Source organism: Homo sapiens, chromosome 14 (assembly GCF_000001405.40).
Source record: "Homo sapiens chromosome 14, GRCh38.p14 Primary Assembly".
Classification (NCBI taxonomy): Eukaryota; Metazoa; Chordata; class Mammalia; order Primates; family Hominidae; genus Homo; species Homo sapiens.
This window is the reverse complement of record NC_000014.9, coordinates 73547358-73567234: the sequence shown is the minus strand read 5'-3', so window position 1 is coordinate 73567234 and position 19877 is coordinate 73547358. Positions and strand designations below refer to the sequence as shown.

The 19877-nt window shown below is 46.4% G+C and overlaps 1 protein-coding gene across 3 annotated transcripts in view, besides 3 other annotated features; it reads left to right on the top strand.

Annotated features, from left to right (window-relative positions):
* HEATR4 (HEAT repeat containing 4) overlaps positions 1–19877 on the top strand; it is a 155331-nt gene that overhangs the window by 66580 nt on the left and 68874 nt on the right. For 2 of the 3 annotated variants that reach the window (NM_203309.2, NM_001220484.1), the window contains exon 1: positions 8288–8484. The exons of the other annotated variant lie outside the window; for it this stretch is intronic. The gene's annotated coding sequence lies outside the window, so the exon portion shown is untranslated. Of the gene's footprint in view, positions 1–8287; positions 8485–19877 lie in introns of those variants that run through there. 3 annotated transcript variants of the gene reach the window in all.
* Positions 199–716: an enhancer, noted in NCBI's record as "H3K27ac-H3K4me1 hESC enhancer chr14:74033223-74033740 (GRCh37/hg19 assembly coordinates)". NCBI's record gives its function as "activates a minimal SCP1, AML or CMV promoter by ChIP-STARR-seq in naive H9 embryonic stem cells {active_cell/tissue: H9 hESC(naive)}" and the evidence as "EXISTENCE:reporter gene assay evidence [ECO:0000049][PMID:30033119]".
* Positions 7287–7456: an enhancer, noted in NCBI's record as "experimental_36531 CRE fragment used in MPRA reporter constructs". NCBI's record gives its function as "activates a minimal promoter by MPRAs in K562 erythroleukemia cells, with activity observed for both the introgressed and non-introgressed 14:74026568 variant alleles {active_cell/tissue: K562}" and the evidence as "EXISTENCE:reporter gene assay evidence [ECO:0000049][PMID:34662402]".
* Positions 12953–13465: an enhancer, noted in NCBI's record as "NANOG hESC enhancer chr14:74020474-74020986 (GRCh37/hg19 assembly coordinates)". NCBI's record gives its function as "activates a minimal SCP1, AML or CMV promoter by ChIP-STARR-seq in naive and primed H9 embryonic stem cells {active_cell/tissue: H9 hESC(naive and primed)}" and the evidence as "EXISTENCE:reporter gene assay evidence [ECO:0000049][PMID:30033119]".

The following is a 19877-nucleotide window of genomic DNA, read 5'->3' as shown; positions in this document are numbered from 1 at the left end:
TTGGGCAAGATGGCTCACGCCTGTAATCCCAGTTTACTTGGAGGCTGAGGTGGCAGGGTTGCTTAAGGCCAGGAGTTTCGCACCAACCTGGACAACATAGCAAGACCCTGTCTCTAAAAAGAAAAAGGGGATGGGCGCGGTGGCTCACACCTGTAATCCCAGAACTTTGGGAGGCTGAGGCGGGTGGATCATGAGGTCAGGAGATCGACACCATCCTGGCTAACACAGTGAAACCCCATCTCTACTAAAAAAAAATACAAGAAATTAACTGGGCATGGTGGCAGGCACCTGTAGTCCCAGCTGCTCCAGAGGCTGAGGCAGGAGAATGGCGTGAACCCCAGAGGTGGAGCTTGTGAGAGGTGACAGCGTGCTGGCAGCCCTCACAGCACTTCCTCTGCCTGGGCTCCCACTTTGGCGGCACTTGAGAAGCCCTTCAGCCCACCGCTGCACTGTGGGAGCCCCTTTCTGGGCTGGCCAAGGCCGGAGCCGTCTCCCTCAGCTTGCAGGGAGGTGTGGAGGGAGAGGCGCAAGTGGGAACTGAGGCTGCGTTCCGCACTTGCGGGCCAGCTGGAGTTCCAGGTGGGCATGGGCTTGGTGGGCCCCACACTCGGAGCCGCCAGCTGGCCCTGCCAGCCCCGGGCAATGAGGGGCTTAGCACCTGGGCCAGCGGCTGCGGAGGGTGTGCTGGGTCCCCCAGCAGTGCCGGCCCACTGGCGCTGTGCTCAATTTCTCGCTGGGCCTTAGCTGCCTTCCCACGGGAAAGGGCTTAGGACCTGCAGCCCTCCATGCCTGAGCCTCCCCCCGCCTCCGTGGGCTCCTGTGCAGCCTGAGCTTCCCTGACGAGCGCCGCCCCCTGCTCCACGGAGCCCAGTCCCATTGACCACCCAAGGGCTGAGGAGTGTGGGCTCACGGTGCGGGACTGGCAGGCAGCTCCACCTGCAGCCCCAGTGCACGATCCACTGGGTGAAGCCAGCTGGGCTCCTGAGTCTAGTGGGAACTTGGAGAACCTTTATGTCTAGCTAGGGGATTGTAAATACACCAATCGGCACTCTGTATCTAGCTCAAGGTTTGTAAACACACCAATCAGCACCCTGTGTCTAGCTCAGGGTTTGTGAATGCACCAATCAACACTCTGTATCTAGCTACTCTGGTGGGGACTTGGAGAACCTTTGTGTCAACACTCTGTATCTAACTATTCTGGTGGGGACGTGGAGAACTTTTGTGTCTAGCTGAGGAATTGTAAACGCACCAATCAGTGCCCTGTCAAAACAGACCCCTGGGCTCTACCAATCAGCAGGATGTGAGTGGGGCCAGATAAGAGAATAAAAGCAGGCTGCCCTAGCCAGCAGTGGCAACCCGCTGGGGTCCCCCTTCCACACTGTGGAAACTTTGTTCTTTCGTTCTTTGCAATAAATCTTACTGCTGCTCACTCTTTGCGTCCACACTGCCTTTATGAGCTCTAACACTCACCACCAAGGTCTGTAGCTTCACTCCTGAAGCCAGCGAGACCATGAACTCACCGGGAAAAACGAACAACTCCAGACACGCCGCCTTAAGAGCTGTAACACTCACCACGAAGGTCCGCAGCTTCAGTCCTAAGCCAGCGAGACCATGAACCCACCAGAAGGAAGAAACTCCGAACACATCCGAACATCAGAAGGAACGAACTCTGGACATGCCACCTTTAAGAGCTGTAATGCTCCCGTGAGGGTCCACGGCTTCATTCTTGAAGTCAGTGAGACCAAGAATCCACCAATTCTGGACACACTTGCAGTGAGCCGAGATTGGGCCACTGCACTCCAGCCTGGGCGACTGAGCAAGACTCCTCAGAAAAAAAAAAAAAAAAGGAAAAGAAAAAGGGAGAGGGTTCATACCTTTGAAATCTGATTCTCAAGCCTGGGCTCTGAACAACTATGCTTTAACTGTCTCTCACATGATGTTGAAGAAGATTTAGAAAAGAAACTCATATATTGATGAATGTATAAACTGGTATGACCTTTTCATGGCAATCAGTGCAAAAATACTTAAAAGATCCCTTCTCTTTGACTCAGCTCCACGTCTAGGAATTTCTTTTAAGTAAACCTTAATGAATGTGTGTAAATATTTGGCTACAAGGATGCTTATCATATCATTTTAATAGAGAAAAAATTAGAAACAAGTGAGCAATATGAATTTGGTTTAACCAGTTTAATTGTGATGTCATAAATGAAATCAGTGTAGACATCTAAAGTTATATAGCAGAAGAATATATGATGAGCATTTTTCCATCACACTGATGAAAAAAGCAGGTTAGAGAACAGTATAAATATATTTTTTACCAAGATATTAACATTTTTTAAAAAGACTACTGAAACAATACACCAGTAGCTGGGTGCAGTGGTTCATGCTTGTAGTTCCAGCTGTTAGGAGGGAGTCCTAGGCAGGAGATTGCTTGAGCCCAGGAGGAGTTCGATACCAGCTTGGGCAACAGAGCAAGATCTCATCTCTAAAAAAAAAAAAAAAAAAACAAAAAACAGAAAAGATAAGACATGAAAATTAAAAAACACACATCTAACTATTTCAAACTGTTGTTTCTTGAGCCTTGAGGTTTTATGCATAGTATTTGTTTATTTGTTTGTTTGTTTTTTAAGACGGGGTGTCTCACTGTGTTACCCAGGCTGGAGTGCAGTGGTGTGATCATAGCTCACTGCAGCCTCAACCTCCCAGGCTTAGCCAGTCCTCCCACCTCAGCCTCCTGAGCACCTGGGACCACAGGCATGCACCACCACACCTGGCTAATTTTTAAAATTATTTGTACAGACGGGGTCTCCCTATGTTGCCTGGTCTCGAACTCCTGGGCTTAAGCAATCCTCCCACCTTGGCCTCCCTGAGTGTTGGGATTATAGGCAAGAGCCACCACACTGGGCCATGTTTCTTTTTTTAATTTTTTTTTTTTTCAAGACAGAGTCTTGCTCTGTCACCCAGGCTGGAGTGCAGTGGTCTGATCTCGGCTCACTGCAACCTCTGGCTCCCGGGTTCCAGCGATTCACCTGCCTCAGCCTCTTGAGTAGCTGGGATTACAGTCACATGCCACCACGGCCAGCTGATTTTTGTATATTTAGTACGACGGGGTTTCACCATGTTGGCCAGGCTGGTCTCAAACTCCTGACCTTGTAATCTGCCCGCCTCAGCCTCCCAAAGTGCTGAGACTACAGTCGTGAGTCACCGTGTCTGGCCTTAACTCTTATTTTTTTAGAGACTAGGTCTTACTCTGTCACCCAGGTTGGAGTGCAATGGCACCATGATAGTTCATTGCAGCCTTGAACTCCTGGGTTCAAAGGATCCTCCCACCTCCTCTTCCCAAACAAGTGACCCTACCGCCTCATCTTCCCAAAGCGGTGAGATTACAGGCATGCATGGCCTCATTTTAACCATTTATTTATTTATTTTTTTATTTTTAGAGACAGGGTCTTGCTATGTTGCCCAGACTGGTCTCGAACTCTGGTCTCAAGTGACCCTCCTGCCTTGGCCTCCCAAAGCGCTAGAATTACAGGCATGAGCTGCTGGAACAAGCCCATTTTAACCATTTTTAAGTGTACAAATCAATGATATTAAGTACATTACATTGTTGTACAACTATCACCATTATCCATTTCCAGAACTTTTGGAGTCTCGCTCTATCCCCCAGGCTGGAGTGCAGTGGCGCGATCTCAGCTCACTGCAACCTCCACCTCCCGGGTTCAAGTGAGTCTCCTACCTCAGCCTCCCGAGTAGCTGGGACTACAGGCACGCACCACCACACCCAGCTAATTTTTCTATTTTTAGTAGAGATGGGATTTCACTGTGTTGGCCAAGCTGGTCTCAAACTCCTGACCCCAAGTGATCGGCCTGCCTCAGCCTCCCAAAGTGCTGGGATTATAGGCGTGAGCCACTGCGTCTGGCCCAGAATTTTTACATCATTGTACAATGAAAGTCTTTACCCATTAAACTATTGGGGGAACTCGCCCCCAATATTTCAACGTAGGTTCCTTCTATTTTCTATAAGAGTCGGCCGGCTGACAAATAGAGACAGTACAAAGAGAGGAATTTTACACCTGGGCCGCTGGGGGTGACATCACATATTGGTAGGACCGTGATGCCCACCTGAGTCTCAGACCAGCAAGTTTTTATTAAGGGTTTCAAAAGGGGAGCGGGGGTAAGAACAGGGAGTGGGTACAAAGATCGTATGCTTCAAAAGGCAAAAGCAGAACCACTAATAAGGTTCTAACAAAGATCACATGCTTCTGAGGGAATAGGACAAAGGGCAAAAGCAGAACCACTGACAAAGGTCCAACAAAGATCACAAGGCAAAGGGCAAAAGCAGAACCACTGATAAGGGTTGTGTTCAGCGGTGCATGTATTTTCTTGATAAACATCTTAAACAACAGAAAACGGGGTTGGAGAGCAGAGAACCAGTCTGACCACAAATTTACCAGGGTGGAGTTTTCCCAACCCTAGTAAGCCTGAGGGTTCTGCAGGAGACCAGGGCGTATCTCAGTCCTTATCTCAACGGCACAAGACAGACATTCCCAGAGCGGCCGTTTATAGACCTCCCGCCAGGAATGCATTCCTTTCCCAGGGTATTAATATTAATATTCCTTACTAGGAAAATAATTTAGTGATATCTCTCCTACTTGCACGTCCGTTTGTAGGCTCTCTGCAAGAAGAAAAATATGGCTCTTTTGGCCCGACTCCGCAGGCTGTCAGACCTTATGGTTGTCTTCCCTTGTTCCATAAAAATCGCTGTTATTCTGTTCTTTTTCAAGGTGCACTGATTTCGTATTGTTCAAACACATGTTTTACAATCAATTTGTACAGTTAACACAATTATCACAGTGGTCCTGAGGTTATGTACATCCTCAGCTTACGAACATAACAGGATTAAGATATTAAAGACAGGCATAAGAAATTATAAAAGTATTATTTGGGAACTGATAAATGTCCATATTAAGATGAAATCTTCACAATTTATGTTCCTCTGCCGCGGCTCCAGCCGGTCCCTCCATTCGGGGTCCTTGACTTCCCACAACATTAAACAATAACTCCTTATTCCCCACTGCCACCAGCCCCTGGCAACCACTATTCCACTTCCTGTCTCTGAATTTGACTACTTTAGGTACCTCATAAAGTGTAATTATACAGTATTTGGCCCTTCATCTCTGGCTTATTTTGCTTAGCATATTGTCTTCAAGGCTCATCCATATATTTACAGCATATCATAACTTCACTCTCCCCAGGAATTTTGCTCTGTCACCCAGGCTCTGGAGTGCAGTGGCAAGATCACAGTTCACTGCAGTCTCAACACCCAGGTGCAAGCAATCCTCCCATCTCAGTCTCCCCAGTAGCTGGGACGACAAGCACGTGCCACCTCACCTGGATACTTTTTAAGTTTTTTGTAGAGATGGGGGTCTCACTTTGTTGCCCAGTCTGGTCTTGAACTTCTACATTCAAGCAATCTTCCTACCTCGGCCTCCCAAAGTGCTGGGATCATAGGCATGAGCCACCTCACACAGCCATTTCATTCATTTTTTTTGAGACAGAGTTTCACTCTTGTTGCCCGGCTGGGGTGGAGTGGTGCAATCTTGCTTGGCTCACTGCAACCTCCTGGGTTCAAGTGATTTCCTGCCTCAGCCTCCCCAGTAGCTGGGACTACAGGTGTGTGCCACCATGCCCAGCTAATTTTTGTATTTTTAGTAGAGACGGGGTTTACTGTGTTGGCCAAGCTGGTCTCGAACTCCTGACCTTGAGTAATCTGTCCGCCTCAGGCTCCCAAAGTGCTGGGATTATAGGCGTGAGCCACTGCACCTGGCCCATTTCATTCCTTTTTCTTTTTTTTTCTTTCTTTTTTTTTGAGATAAACTCTCGCTCTGTCGCCCGGGCTGGACCACAATGGCGAGATCTTGGCTCACTGCAACCTCTGCCTCCTGGGTTCAAGAGATTCTCCTGCCTCGGTCTCCTGAGTAGCTGGGATTACAGGCGCCTGCCACTACGCCTGGCTAATTTTTGTATTTTTAGTAGAGATGGAGTTTCACCATGTTGACCAGGCTGGTCTTGAACTTTTGACCTCAGGTGATCCACCCTCCTCGGCCTCCCAAAGTGCTGGGATTACAGGCCTGAGCCACCACGCCCAGCCCATTTCATTCCTTTTTAAGGCTGAATAACATTCTGTTGTATGTATCTTCCACATTTTGTTTATCCATTCATTCACTGATGGACATTTGGGTTCTTTCCACCGTTTGGCTATTGTGAGTATGCTGCTATGAACATGGGTATACAAATATCTGTTAAAGTCCCTGCTTTCAATTCTTTTGGATATGTACCCAGAAGTAGAATTGCTGGATCACATAGTAATTCTATATTTAATTTTTTGAGGAACCTTCAACAGGGTTTTGATTTATTAGAAACAGGGTCTCCCTCTGTCACTGAGGCTGGGGTGCAGTAGTGCCATCATAGCTCACTGCAGCCTCAAACTCCTGGGCTCAAATGATCCTCCTGCCTTAGCAGGGTTATAATGTTTAATTTTTTTAGTATTTAATTTTCTTTTTTTTTTTTTTTGAGATGGAGTCTTGCTCTGTCGCCCAGGCTGGAGTGCAGTGGCCCAATCTCGGCTCACTGCAAGCTCCGCCTCCCGGGTTCATGCCATTCTCCTGCCTCAGCCTCCAAGTAGCTGGGACTACAGGCGCCTGCCACCACGCCTGGCTAATTTTTTTGTATTTTTAGTAGAGATGGGGTTTCACCGTGTTACCCAGGATGGTTTAAATCTCCTGACCTCGTGATCCGCCCAACTTGCCTCCCAAAGTGCTGGGATTATGGGCGTGAGCCACAGCGCCTGGCTCAGTCTTTACTTTTCATAACAGAAAACGTACCCTCTGCTTTTTATGGGGGTCTAACCATCTGAGTGCAGCTTGAGCTCAAGTGCTAAAGTCCATATTCAGGTTGGTCAGCAGCAGCAGTCTTGCTTGGAACCAAGAGATGGACCACCTGAATAGCATGACCTGGGTCAACGAGACAGAGCCTTAGGCCCAGAAATCTTTCCTGCTGTCAGGATAAATTAGTTTGTTTCACAAAGGGACTCTTGAAGATCAGAATTTCTGTATCTGTAAGACTTCTATGACTTAAAGAATTTCTGTACGTGTGAAATTATACTATTAGAAATACAAGATTGAAGAGTCTCCTTGTAAAAGCTAGTGTTAATGGCTAATAATCTAGCCAGGATTTAGAGATCAGGGAAAATGGGATTGAACTGTGTGGGCAAAGGAGATTAAGTAGCAGTGGAGGAGCTGAAAGGGGAATGGAAAAGTCGACGGACAGCTTCTACTTTACCATCTGTTTTATCAGCCTGGTAATCTGACGCCTGCCAGAACTATGTGGTCATGTGTTCCCTGCTTTGCCTCTTTCTCAGGATTTATAAACCCTTGTGGTGGGAGAATATGGAGCTGCATATATCTAGAGGGTTTTTTTATTTTTATCTTTTGAGACTGCACTTCACTCTTGCTGCCCAGGCTGGAGTGCAATGGCCTGATCTTGGCTCACTGCAACCTCTGCTTCCTGGGTCCAAGCGATTCTCCTGCCTCAGCCTCCCGAGTAGCTGGGATTACAGGCATGCGCCACCAGGCCCAGGTGATTTTCTTTTTAAATTTTCTATTTTTAGTAGAGATGGGGTTTCACCATGTTGGTCAGGCTGGTCTCTAACTCCTGACCTCAGGTGATCCGCCACCTCAGCCTCCCAAAGCGCTGAAATTGCAGGCGTGAGCCATCGCGCCTGGCTGAGGTTTATTTTTCAAAGAATGACCAAGAGGCTAGGTGTGGTGGCTCACAGTTGCAAATCCCAGCACTTTGGGAGGCCAAGGCGGACACATCACTTGAGGTCAGGAGTTTGAGAACAGCCTGTCCAACATGGTGAAACCCCATCTCTACTAAAAGTACAATTAGTGGGGCATGGTGGTGTGGCCTGTAATGGGAGGCTGAGACAGGAGAATTGCTTGAACCTGGGAGGCACAGGTTGCAGTGAGCCGAGATCGCACCACTGCACTCCAGCCTAGGCAACTGAGTGAGACTGTCTCAAAAAAGAAAAAAGACCAAAAACTCCATGAAACTACCATTCAATAAATAATCAATAAATAAGATGCAATTTCTCAAAGCTCAGTTTACAAAGAAGGAAATTTAATAAATGGTTGAAGATATACCCCCGACTGAACCCACAAGTTCTCTGAGTAGACTCATGGAATTCTAAAGAGTTGGTTGCTTGGAGACTGATAGAAACAGCTTTGGAACCTAAGAAACCAAGGAAGGCTTAAGATGCAGAACCTTGCTTCTCTCTGAGGACTGCCTTTTAGGAGGCCATTTGGAAAGTAATTTTGAAACACTGCTCCTTTGCCAGTATCTGAAAGGTGCTGGATGGTGTCAGCTGGAAGATGAGGGGCAACCTGAGGTAGCTGAAAAAACTTTGGATTAGGTGTCAAAAGGGTCAGTACTACTTTAGATACCAAGCAGTATGGTGATCTTAATGATTTCTCTTCTCTCTGGGCCCCAGTTTTGGGATTTATAAAATCAGGACATTAGGCCTGGTGCAGTGGCTCATGCCTGTATTCCCAGCATTTTGGGAGGCCAAGGTGGGAGGACTGTTTGAGTCCAGGAGTTCAAGACCAGCCTGAGCAACATAGTGAGACTCTATCTCTACAAAAAAAAAAAAAAAAAAAAAAATTTAACCGAGAGTGGTGTGCTATGTGCCTATGCTCCCAGCTATGTGGGAGGATTGCTTGAGCCCAGGAGGTCAAGGCTGCAGTGAGTCATGATCACGCCACTGTACTCCAGGAGAGTGAGACCCTGTCTCAAAAAAAAAAAAACAAATCAAGGCATTAGACCAGGTCATCTTTATAGCAGAGTTTCCAGAGTAATCTCTGGAGATAGCTGTATAGCTGTGTGAGTGCATGGTAAAAAATTAGAAAGTAGAGGGGAAAAAATGAGGGGAACTTTTTGAGGGCAAAAAGGGAGAAAGGGGGACTTGAAACAAGCCAGGTTAAGCAGCTGTTCCCTAATCCCACTCTCCCCACTAACCAGGCTTCCTTCATACACCCCACTGACACCCTTTGGGCTGTGCTTTCTTTAAATGTATTGTGTATTAAACCTGAGAGCTTGTGAAAATGCAGATTTCTAGGCCTCACTTGCAGGCTACTGAATCAGCATTCTGGGAGTAGGACACAAGAGTCTGATGTAAAAGGTTCTTTACCCATATCTATTCCAGGCATAGTCCCAGCATTTCTGGAGGCCAAGGCAGGAAGATCACTTGATTCCAGGAGTTTGAAACCAGCCTGGACAACATAGTAAGACCCTGTCTCTACAAAAAAAAGTTTTAAAACATTAGCCAGGCATGGTGGTGCACACCTGTGGTCCCAGCTACTGGGGACGCTGAGGCAGGAGGATTGCTTGAGCCTGGGAGGCAAGGCTGCAGTGAGCCATGACTGTGCCACCGCACTCCAGCTTGGGTGACAGAGTGAGGCCCTGTCTCAAACATAAATAAATAAACAAAAAACTGTATCTAACAAACACCACCCCAGAAGCTGACTGCACACTCTTGGACTCCACCTCAGAACTTCAGAATCCAAATCTGTTGGTAGAGATGAGAGTATTATTTTTTTAAAGCTTTCAGAAGATACTGATACTAAGGCTTATTGCTTTTTAGTCTTTTCTTTCAAGGCAGTTTCCTCTATTTTAATAACAAGGGAGAATGCAAGATATTACTCCTTTTAGCACATGTTACTCAACCTACTTTGACCACTTGTACAGGATAAAGGTATCAGACCAGAGGGTGAGGGTAAGCGACTGATAAGCAAACAGAAAAGTGGAACTAAATTTGGAATCTCTGAGATACTACCCAGTTTGAGTTGAGTTCTGTATTCATAAAATATTAGAGGCAGGAGAGGAATTTAGTCCAACTCCTACGTTTTCCAGCTGGGGATCTAGGAAGTTCATCAGGTTTTAACTAGAGGCATGTGGCCTAACCCTTCCAACCCCATTCCTCCCCTTCTAGCCCAAGTTCCTAGAAATGCAGATAATGCTGGTGGGTTGCTCATTCCAGGGCCTGGTCTGCAGTTATGCCAGGATTGACTTAGTCAATTTTTTATGCTGTCTATGTACAAAAGGACCCCGGACCTGCCACTCTGCTTTTGGTTCTAGAGGGCTATTTGTTGGGAGTGGGGTGCTGCCTCATAATGCTGGTCACGTAATGTGTAAGTTTCGATAATAAGGAGCCTCCAAACTCCATTAATAAGTCCTTTCTTTCTTCTCTAAGCACCCTCTCTTTTAATTGCTGAGTACCCCATAGCCCTAAATTCTTCCCGAAGCGCCCAGTGCATCTAACTGTAGGACCCAGAGACTTGCCTTCTAAGGACAACAGTCCATCCTCTAAACTAATAATAACAATTCCTCACACATATATTTTAGTTTGCAAAGAACTTTCATACGTTTCTAATTTTGAGGTTCATATCAATCAACACTAAATTAGAACAGGTATCAGACTCAATTTTCAGATTGGGAAACTACAGATTTCAAATTATTTGCCCAAGGTAACATGACTGGGAAGTGCACAATTTGGCCTTACACCTGTCCCGTGACTCCAAGACAGACAAAGACAAGCCAGAACAAGCCTCTTTTGATCAGACCTTGTGTAACATTTTGTTCTGTCCCCATTCCTTTTCAAAACAGACCTATCATGTGTTCCCTTCCTTCTTAATAAGCCATCATATCGGATGATAATAACTATTCCTTAAGTTTTTTTTGTTTTTTTTTTTTGAGAAGAAGTTTCACTCTTGTCACCCAGCCTGGAGTGCACTGGTGTGATCTTGGCTCACTGCAACCTCCGCCTCCTGGGTTCAAGCGATTCTCCTGCCTCAGCCTCCTGAGTAGCTGGGATTACGGGTGCCTGCCACCATGCCTGGCTAATTTTTTGTATTTTTAGTAGAGATGGGGTTTCGCCATGTTGGCCATGCTGCTCTTGAACTGCTGACCTCTGGTGATCTGCCTGCCTCAGCCTCCCAAAGTGTTGGGATTACAGGCGTGAGCCACCGCACCCAGCCTCCTTAAGAATTTCTAATAATTGATAATGGTAATATGGTATTCTTTCTGGGATGTTTGCATTGTAACTAAAGATTCTTTATGTCAAAGGCTAAAGGGCATTTATCTGCGGACACCCTAAATCACTCCTTTTTTTTTGAGATAGAGTTTTGCTCTTGTTATCCAGGCTGGAGTGCGGTGGCACGATCTCGGCTCGCTGCAACCTCTGCTTGTCAGGTTCAAGCAACTCTCCTGCCTCAGCCTCCCAAGTAGCTGGGATTACAGGTGTGTGCCACCATGCCTGGCTAATTTTGTATTTTTAGTAGAGATGGGGTTTCTCCATGTTGATCAGGCTGGCTGGTCTCGAACTCCTGACCTTGGGTGATCCACCCGCCTCAGCCTCCCAAAGTGCTGGGATTACAGGCGTGAGCCACCCACCTAGCCAATCACTCCTTATAGGTAGTCATCTGGGGATGAAATGAGTCCTCATCCCATTTTTCAACTGTTTAGGATCAAATTGCCCCCTGCCTTAGAAGCAAGATGTGGACACACTGATGTGTTAGGAATGTAAAATGTTTTAGAAGAATATGCAAGGCAGGAGAATATTAATGTTCTTTTCATTTGACCATTCATACTCAACCAGTGAGGAACTCCTCTTAACAAGAATCTTATAAGACAGGTCTGATGTCAAAATCTCTCACTTTTTTTTTTTTAACTAAGAATATCCTTATTTCTCTTTCATGTTTGAAGGCTGTTTTTGCTGAATATAATATTCTAGATTGGAAGTTTTTTTGCTTCAGCACTTTGTCACCCCACTCTCTGCTTGTAAAGTTTCTGCTGAGAAGTCTGCTACCAGCCATATTGGAGCTCCTTTATGATGTTATTAATATGTCCTTCTTTTCTCTTGCTGCTTTTAGGATCCTTTTTTAGCCTTGACCTTTGAGAGTTTGATTATTATATGCCTTGAGGTAGTCTTATTGAGGCTGAGTTGGCTTGGTGTTTTATGACCTTCTTATACCTGTATATTCATATCTTTCTCTAGTTTTAGAAAGTTCTCTGTTACTATTTCTTTAAATAAATTTTTACATTGATCTCTCCCTCTACATTCTTTTTTTTTAGTTTAATCATTTTTATTTCAAGTTTATTTAAAAAATCATAAATGGGGTTTCATAATCCAAAGTTGAAACATTTATTCTTCATAGCTTCAGAATTTGACAAGCAATTGTAGACCATGCTTTCCAAATCCAGTCTTCTTTGCTATTTTTCAAATTTCTGAGATCTAGTATTAAACTGCTCCATTCTAAACGTATAGTTTCAGATAAGTATTGTACACTTGTTGATAAGGGTTTTCTGAAAACAGTCTATCAAATATAAAGAATGGTTTCTATCTAAGAATCAGCAGTGAGGGAAGAAATATCAAACACCTATCAAGAAATCAATTATTCATTTTAAAAGTAGCAGAACCAGTGCTGCTCTCTGTCATAAAGGAGAACATGTAAAATTTATTTTTATAGACTTTGGTAATATTTTATTCCCCACAGAGGCCTTCAATCCTACTTAAAGATATTTTACACATAGTAACCATCAGGATTTACTGAGTAAAAATCTCAGGTATTAACCATGCCCCTAAAATGTGCTATTCCAAAGAGGAACAGGTTACTTTTGAGGAAAAAAGCTGCCTTGGTAACTTACCTCAAATATTTATTTCAAATAAAAATAGTTGATGGAAATATTTTTTAAACGAACTTTGGGTATAATATGGCATACTGCCCATCAAACAAAAAAGGAAATCAAAACTTTCTTTCCATTTATAATAAGTTTTCCACTTTTACTATCAAGATTACAACTTATTGACCTTTTATGCTTGCTTGGTTTTTTTGACTGCCTAATCCAATATCTCGGCTCACTGCAACCACTGCCTCTCTGGTTCAAGCGCTTCTCCTGCCTCTGTCTCCTGAGTAGCTGGGATTACAGGCCCCCACCACCATGCCTGCTAATTTTTTTTATTTTTCATAGAAACAGGGTTTTACCATGTTGGGCAGGCTGGTCTCCAACTCCTGGTCTCTAGTGATCTGCCTGCCTTGGGCTCCCGAAGTGCCGTGATTACATGAGTAAGCCACCATGCCCAGCTGGCTAATTCTTTTGTGTACAGATTAAAGCAGAGGGGAACCTCATTGTCATGATAATTAAAGATCAAAACTGGCATGTTTGGGAAATTGGCTGTTATTTCTCTCCTGATTTCTCAGAAGGCCAGGTAACACTTCAGTTTAGGTTGGGTGAAACTTTAGCACAGGTGACGCCATTTTGGTTTTTAGTCTTGTCTATTGGGGCCTAGTGCTAGAGCCTAGTCCAAAACAATGGCCTTAGCGGGGCATGCTAGTGCATGCCTGTAATCCCAGCTACTAGGGAGGCTGAGGCACAAGAATTGCTTGAACCTGGGAGGCAGAGGTTGCAGTGTGCCAAGATTGCGCTGCTGCACTCCAGCCTGGGGGACAGAGCAAGACTCTATCTCAAAAACAAAACAAAAAAAAAGCAAAACAATAGTCTCCTATACTTTTTTTCATTCCCTTCAAGTGTATCCTCCACAGCAATAATTTTTATTTAACAAACCTAATACCCAATGTGATAATACTTTTTTATTTTAATTTTTTTTGGAGATCTAGTCCTGTTCAGTTGCCTAGGCTGGAGTGCAGTGGCGCGATCCCGGCTCACTGGACCTCTACCTTCTGGGTTCCAAGTGATTCTCCTGCCTCAGCCTCCCCCGTAGCTGGGATTACAGGCGAGTGCTACCAAGCCCAGCTAATTATTTTTTGGATTTTTAGTAGAGATGGGGTCTCACCATGTTGCCCAGGCTGGTCTTGAACTCCTGAGCCCAGGTAATCCGCCCACCTCAGCCTCCCAAAGTGCTGGGATTACAGGTGTGAGCCACCATGCCCAGCCTCAATGCGATAGTATTAAAAAGTGGGGACTTGGCACCTGGGGGAGAAGAAGGGGAGGCACAGGACCCCAGAAAGTGTCCTGAGCAGGAGGCTTGTGTCCTTCGGGGTGGGGCACCAGCCCTGGTGCTGACCTGTCCTTGCCCTGACCTAGGCCTGTCCTGCTGGGCCAGGCAGGGGCTATGGCAGATGAGCGAGACAAGGTGGCCAGGCCGTGAGCCAGGAACAGTGGGAGTCAGGAATGCCGAATAGTGTGTGCTTGGGTCGGGGAAACCCTGGATAGGACCCATGGGGGATGGAAGGGAGCTGGTGGGGGAGCTGCCCACACAGACAGGCCTGGGTGGCACCCAAGAGGTGTAGGGGTCAGGGGCCTCAGACTCATGGCATAAGACAGGCATGAGGTGTTGGGGGTCTGGGTGAGGGGGTTGACAAACTGCCAGGCTGGAGCAGCGGGTTATCTGGAGGGCCCAAGGTGTTGTGGGATCAGGAAGTGGGGGACACTGGAGTGTTTATGGGGTGCTAGAATAGCTGTGGGATGCACTGGTCTAAGTTGGGGTTGACAGTGGTTGGGACATGGGGAGGTTGATTTGTGTCGGCACAGGGGATTGTGGGAATGGGGGCTGGTAGGGTCTCAAAAAATGGGGCCCAAGCTCAGAAGGAGAAGGCAAATGAGGATTAGGGAGGGGATGCTGTAGTTTAGAATGAAGCCTCTGCCTCCTCTGAGCTTGGAGCCTGGGAAAGGGGCCAGGGTGGGTTTATGATGGTACAGGCAGTGCTGGGGGCTCCCAACAGGCCCCGGGCAAGGAAGAGGCTGCAGAATGCCCACTCTGCTGTTACAGACCAATTACACTGAGACAGCAGGGTTTGCAGCACAGAAAGAGCTTCATGATCACAGGGCACCTAGCAAGGAGATGGGAGGAGACCCTCAAATCCATCTCCTTGAAGAATTCTGGGCTGGGGTTGTTACCAGTGGAAGGTGTCTGAGTTACTGGTGGCGAATCTGTACAGGTCTACAGCAACTTCAGTTCTTGCCTCCTCAGAAGAAAGAATTTGACTGAGGGGCATAAGGCAGAAAAAGAGACGGAGGTGAGTTCAGAGCAGAGTGGAAGTTTATTTAAAAAGTCTTTAGGACATGAAAGAAAGGAAAGTTCACTTGGAAGAGACCTGACCGGGCACCTGAAGGTCAAGAGCCCTGTTTAACTGTGATCCTAGGACTTTATAGGCTCGCCTCTTTCTCATGATTCTTCTCTGAGGGTGAGCTGCCCTCATGCTCTGTGCTCTCTTTACCTTTCGGAAGTGAGCATGCACAGTGTGTGTAGGAAGTTGTATACGTGCCCATCTGAGGCTTTCTTCCCTTTTCCAGTGGAGTGTCCTGGAGAGGTCATACATAGCCATTTTGTCTGTTTTTTTTTTTTTTTTAAGACGGAGATTTACTCTTGTTGCCCAGGCTGGAGTGTAATGGCGTGGTCTCAGCTCACTGCAACCTCGGCCTCCTGGGGTTCAAGCGATTCTCCTGCCTCAGCCTCCTGAGTAGCTGGGACTACAGGTGCGCACCACCACACCCGGCTAATTTGTGTATTTTTAGTAGAGACGGTGTTTCACCATGTTGGTCAGGCTGGTCTCGAACTCCTGACCTCAGGTGACCCATCCACCTCAGCCTCCCAAAGTGTTGGGATTACAGGCGTGAGCCACCGCGCCTGGCCTGCCATTTTGTCTCTTAATGCACGTGCCCAGGAAGTTGCTTCTCCCTGGCACCTGCATTCAATTAACACTTTAATGTTAACACCTGTGGATCATCAGGAGCTTGTCTCACTCTGGCCCTCTGGCACCAACTGCGAATTTTCAGTTTAGAGAGGCAACGTGATAACTGTCAACCACCACCTGACATTCCTAGTGGGTGAGGGAGAAAAGCCCTCTCCTTCCCTGCTCATGTCTAACTACCTGTAACAGGGTTTTTAAAGGGATCATGGAGGGTAAAGGGCTAGAAAATTGGGCTCATTGACTAGTTGGGGTAAAGGGGATTAAATTTTCAGGAGGTGGAAACTGCATTCTTTTTTTTTTTTTTGAGACGGAGTCTCACACTGTCACTCAGGCTGGAGTGCAATGGCACGATCTCAGCTCACTGTAACCTGTGCCTCCCAGGTTCAAGTGATTCTCCTGCCTCAGCCTCTCAACCTCCAAGTAGCTGGGACTACAGGCACATGCCACCACACTCGGCTAATTTTTGTATTTTTAGTACAGACGGTGTTTCACTATGTTGGCCAGGCTGGTCTCGAACTCCTGACCTCGTATCGGCCCGCCTCTGTCTCCCAAAGTGCTGGGACTATAGCCATGCCACCGCGCCCAGCAAAAACTGCATTCTTTAGTGAGTGAGTTCCTGTGGGGTCTTTCATTCAGGCTGGCATCAGCAGTTTCTTTGGCGGCTGATGTGACACCTCGGTTCTTGTCTTCTTGGTTTAAAAGAATTTAAACAAGAGACACACAGCAAAGAAGTGCAGCATAGAGTAATTTATTGCAAAGGAAGAAGAATATTTTGAAATTTACATGCAGAATGGACTGTATACTGTGAGAGAGAGGGTTCAAGGCAGGCTGCTCATAAGGGTGAGACAGCAGAGACTGGCAGTAGGGAGACTCCCTTTATGGGAGTCTTACATGATTATTCATAAGGTGGTGGGAAGAGGTGTTGCTAATAAGCATGTTCCGGGTGGTCTTCTGTGTGCACATGCACAGTAGCTGTACATGCTTGTTCATATGTCACATGTCTCATTAGCATATTACATCTCCATGTAGGGCTGTCTTCTACTATTATAATGAGCAAAATGTCAGTTTGAGGACAGGTAAAATCAAAATGCTCATGCTGTCTATGGGGGAAATTCCCTAATGAAGACAGCTTTGCTTGAATGAGCGCAATGACAATGCGAATGCTGAGGCTCACTGTGTTGACTGTATGGGTGCCATGGTCGCTGCATCCCGAGAACACGGTCACTCCCTTAGCTACCTATCCTGCCTCAGTTTCATTGCTATGCAGGACCTGAAAGAATATCTCAAATGGAAAAGTTAATGTTTTATAATGTTCCAGTTGTTATCTATGAGCAGTGAAGGGGAACTATGACCTTGTGACAGGGTCTATGAGACTCTGGAGCAACAGGCAGCAAACAACTCTGAGCAAGTGGGTCAGAGAGCAGCTGACCTCATGACCAATGCTGTGTGTGCTGCAAGCTGGGCTGATTTCCATTTCGCCCCTCCCTTCTCCCCTGATTAATTTTATAAAGTTGATAGGGAAGGTTTCAGTGGGATCTTGGCCACTCTCATAAAGGAGGCTGTTCTGAGGGGCTGGGAAGGAGGCCTCATGAGAGGAGGAAGGGCTCCCAGGGAAGGGCTTGGGCCAGGGTCCCTGATGTTGGGGTGGAGTGGAGGGCAATATTAGCTTCAGCATGTGCAAAGAAGGTGGCTTGGGGGTTCTGAGTGGTTGGGGTGCTACTGTGGGAGGGGGGTCACCTTCAGAGAAGGGGCAACAGGAGGTGGGAAGCCCTGGTAAAGATTCAATTCCCCAAGTGGCCCAGATGCTCTAAAAATGGCTTGCCTCAGGGACTGTCCACCACCAAAAAAATCTCAGCACTCTCTCTTGGTATTTAATCAGGTAAAGCCCCAGGATCTGAAGCCCCAGGTTCAGATCCTGCCTTGCCATTGGCTTGCAGGATCTATGACCTTGGCAAATGGCTTTGCCCCTTGCCTCAATTTCTTTTTCTGCAGAATGTGACAGGAATGTTCTCTACTTCCTGGGGGTGTTTAAAACATTAAATAATGATTAGCTCTAATAACTAATACATTGAAGCCTGAGGCCCAGGGCTCGATGCATGATTGTTAATTCCTCCCAACAAGATGGGATTGTTGTTATACCCATTGTATAGATGAGGAAATTGAGGCCTGACGCCCCTGAGATACACACACACACAGACACACACACACATCACGAGGCATTTGGGAAGTGACTGTCATGAGGGTGGAACCCTCATTAATGGGATTGGTGCCCTTATAAAACAGGTTGAAGAGAGCTGCCTTGCTCTTTCCACTAGGTAGGACACAAGATGGTGCTATCTATGAGGAACAGGCCCTCAGCAGACACCAGATCTGCTGGTGCCTTGATCTTGGATTTCCTAGCCTCCAAAACTGTGAGCAATACATTTCTGTTGTTTATAAATTACCCGGTATAAGACATTTTGTTACTGCAGTTGAACAGACTAAGACAAGTGTCCTCACCACCAGAAAAAAAAAAAAGAGAGAGAGAGAGAAAGATGTGAGGCGATGGATAGGTTAATTACCTGGAATTACCTGGTTAATTACCTGTGAATCCTTTCACAGTGTGTTAATATACACATATCAAAACACCATGTTGGGTTGGCACAGTGGTTCATGCCTATAATCCCAGCACTTTGAGAGGCCAAGGTGGGAGTGTAACTAAGCAGGTTAGCAGCTTAGCCTCAAACCTTAAGACTTTTTTTCCTTTCCCCTTTCTCCTCCCCCAGTGAGTCTCAAGATAGAACTCTGAGACCATCTGCATATGAGTTTCCTTTCATCTTGAAATACACCCTCAGAATGTGCTGAACCTCCACGCCCTTTCTTTTCCCATTCTGTGCTTCCGTGCCTTATGCACATGTATTTACCTAGATGCTTGTTAAGTACACACCATTACCTGGTCATATATTTCCTTCAGCTTCAGGGACTGGATCTGGATATGGACCAGACACCTCTAGCCACAATGATGGCACTGGCTCCTTCACCAGATGAAACAATACTTCAAAACAAGCCAGTGGAGCAGGTCACGCCACCCGACAACTCCTAGTTCCGCTGCCTCTTCTGCACTCCAAACTCTCTCTTCAAAAGCTCCTGGATTCCCTCCACAAATTGAAGAGTGGAAATATTTGCAAATAACTACACTCACTTCTCCCCTTGCTAGCATGGATAATAAAACTCACTCTCTTTATCACACCTCACTCTTATTATATTGGCTTCTTTTTACAAGTGGCTGGCAGCTGGACCCTTCTACTGATTACAGGAGGCTCACCTGAGGCCAGGAGTTCGAGACCAGCCTGGGCAACATAATAAGACCCTGTTTCTGCAAAAAATTAAAAATTAGCTGGGCATGGTGGCAAGTGCCTATAGTCTCAGCTACTCAGGAGGCTGAAGTGGGAGGATGGGTTGGGCCCCCAGGAGTTTGAGGCTACAATGAGCTATGATGGCACCACTGCACTCCAGCCTGGCCAGAGCCTGTCTCTTAAAACAAAAACAAAAACAACCCGCCACAACCATCTCTTTGTACACTTTATTTTTATTTTATTTTTTGAGACAGGGTCTCACTCTGTTGTCCAGGCTGGAGTGCAGTAACACAATCTTGGCTCACTGCAACCTCCGACTCCCAGGTTCAAGCGATTCACCCACCTCAGCCTGCCAAGTAGTTGGGAGTACAGGTGCACACCACCACCCCTGGCAAATTTTTATATTTTTTGGTAGAGATGGAGTTTTACCATGTTGGCTAGGCTGCTCTCGAACTCCTGACTTCAAGTGATCCACCCACCTTGGCCTCCCAAAGTGATGGGATTACAGGCGTGAGCTACTGTGCCTGGTCCATGTTATACACTTTAAATATGCTTTTAAAAACCATGCCGATTGGACTTGGGTATTGGTTATGTTGTGGTTCCCTTTAAAATTATTCATGATGGCCAGGTGCAGTGGTGATTGCCTGTAATCCCAGCACTTTGGGAGATGCCAAGGTGGGAAGATTGCCTGAGCCCAGGAGTTTAAGACCAGCATGGGCAACATAGGGAGACCCCATCTCTATTTTGTTTTTGAGACAGCGTTTTGCCCTTTTGC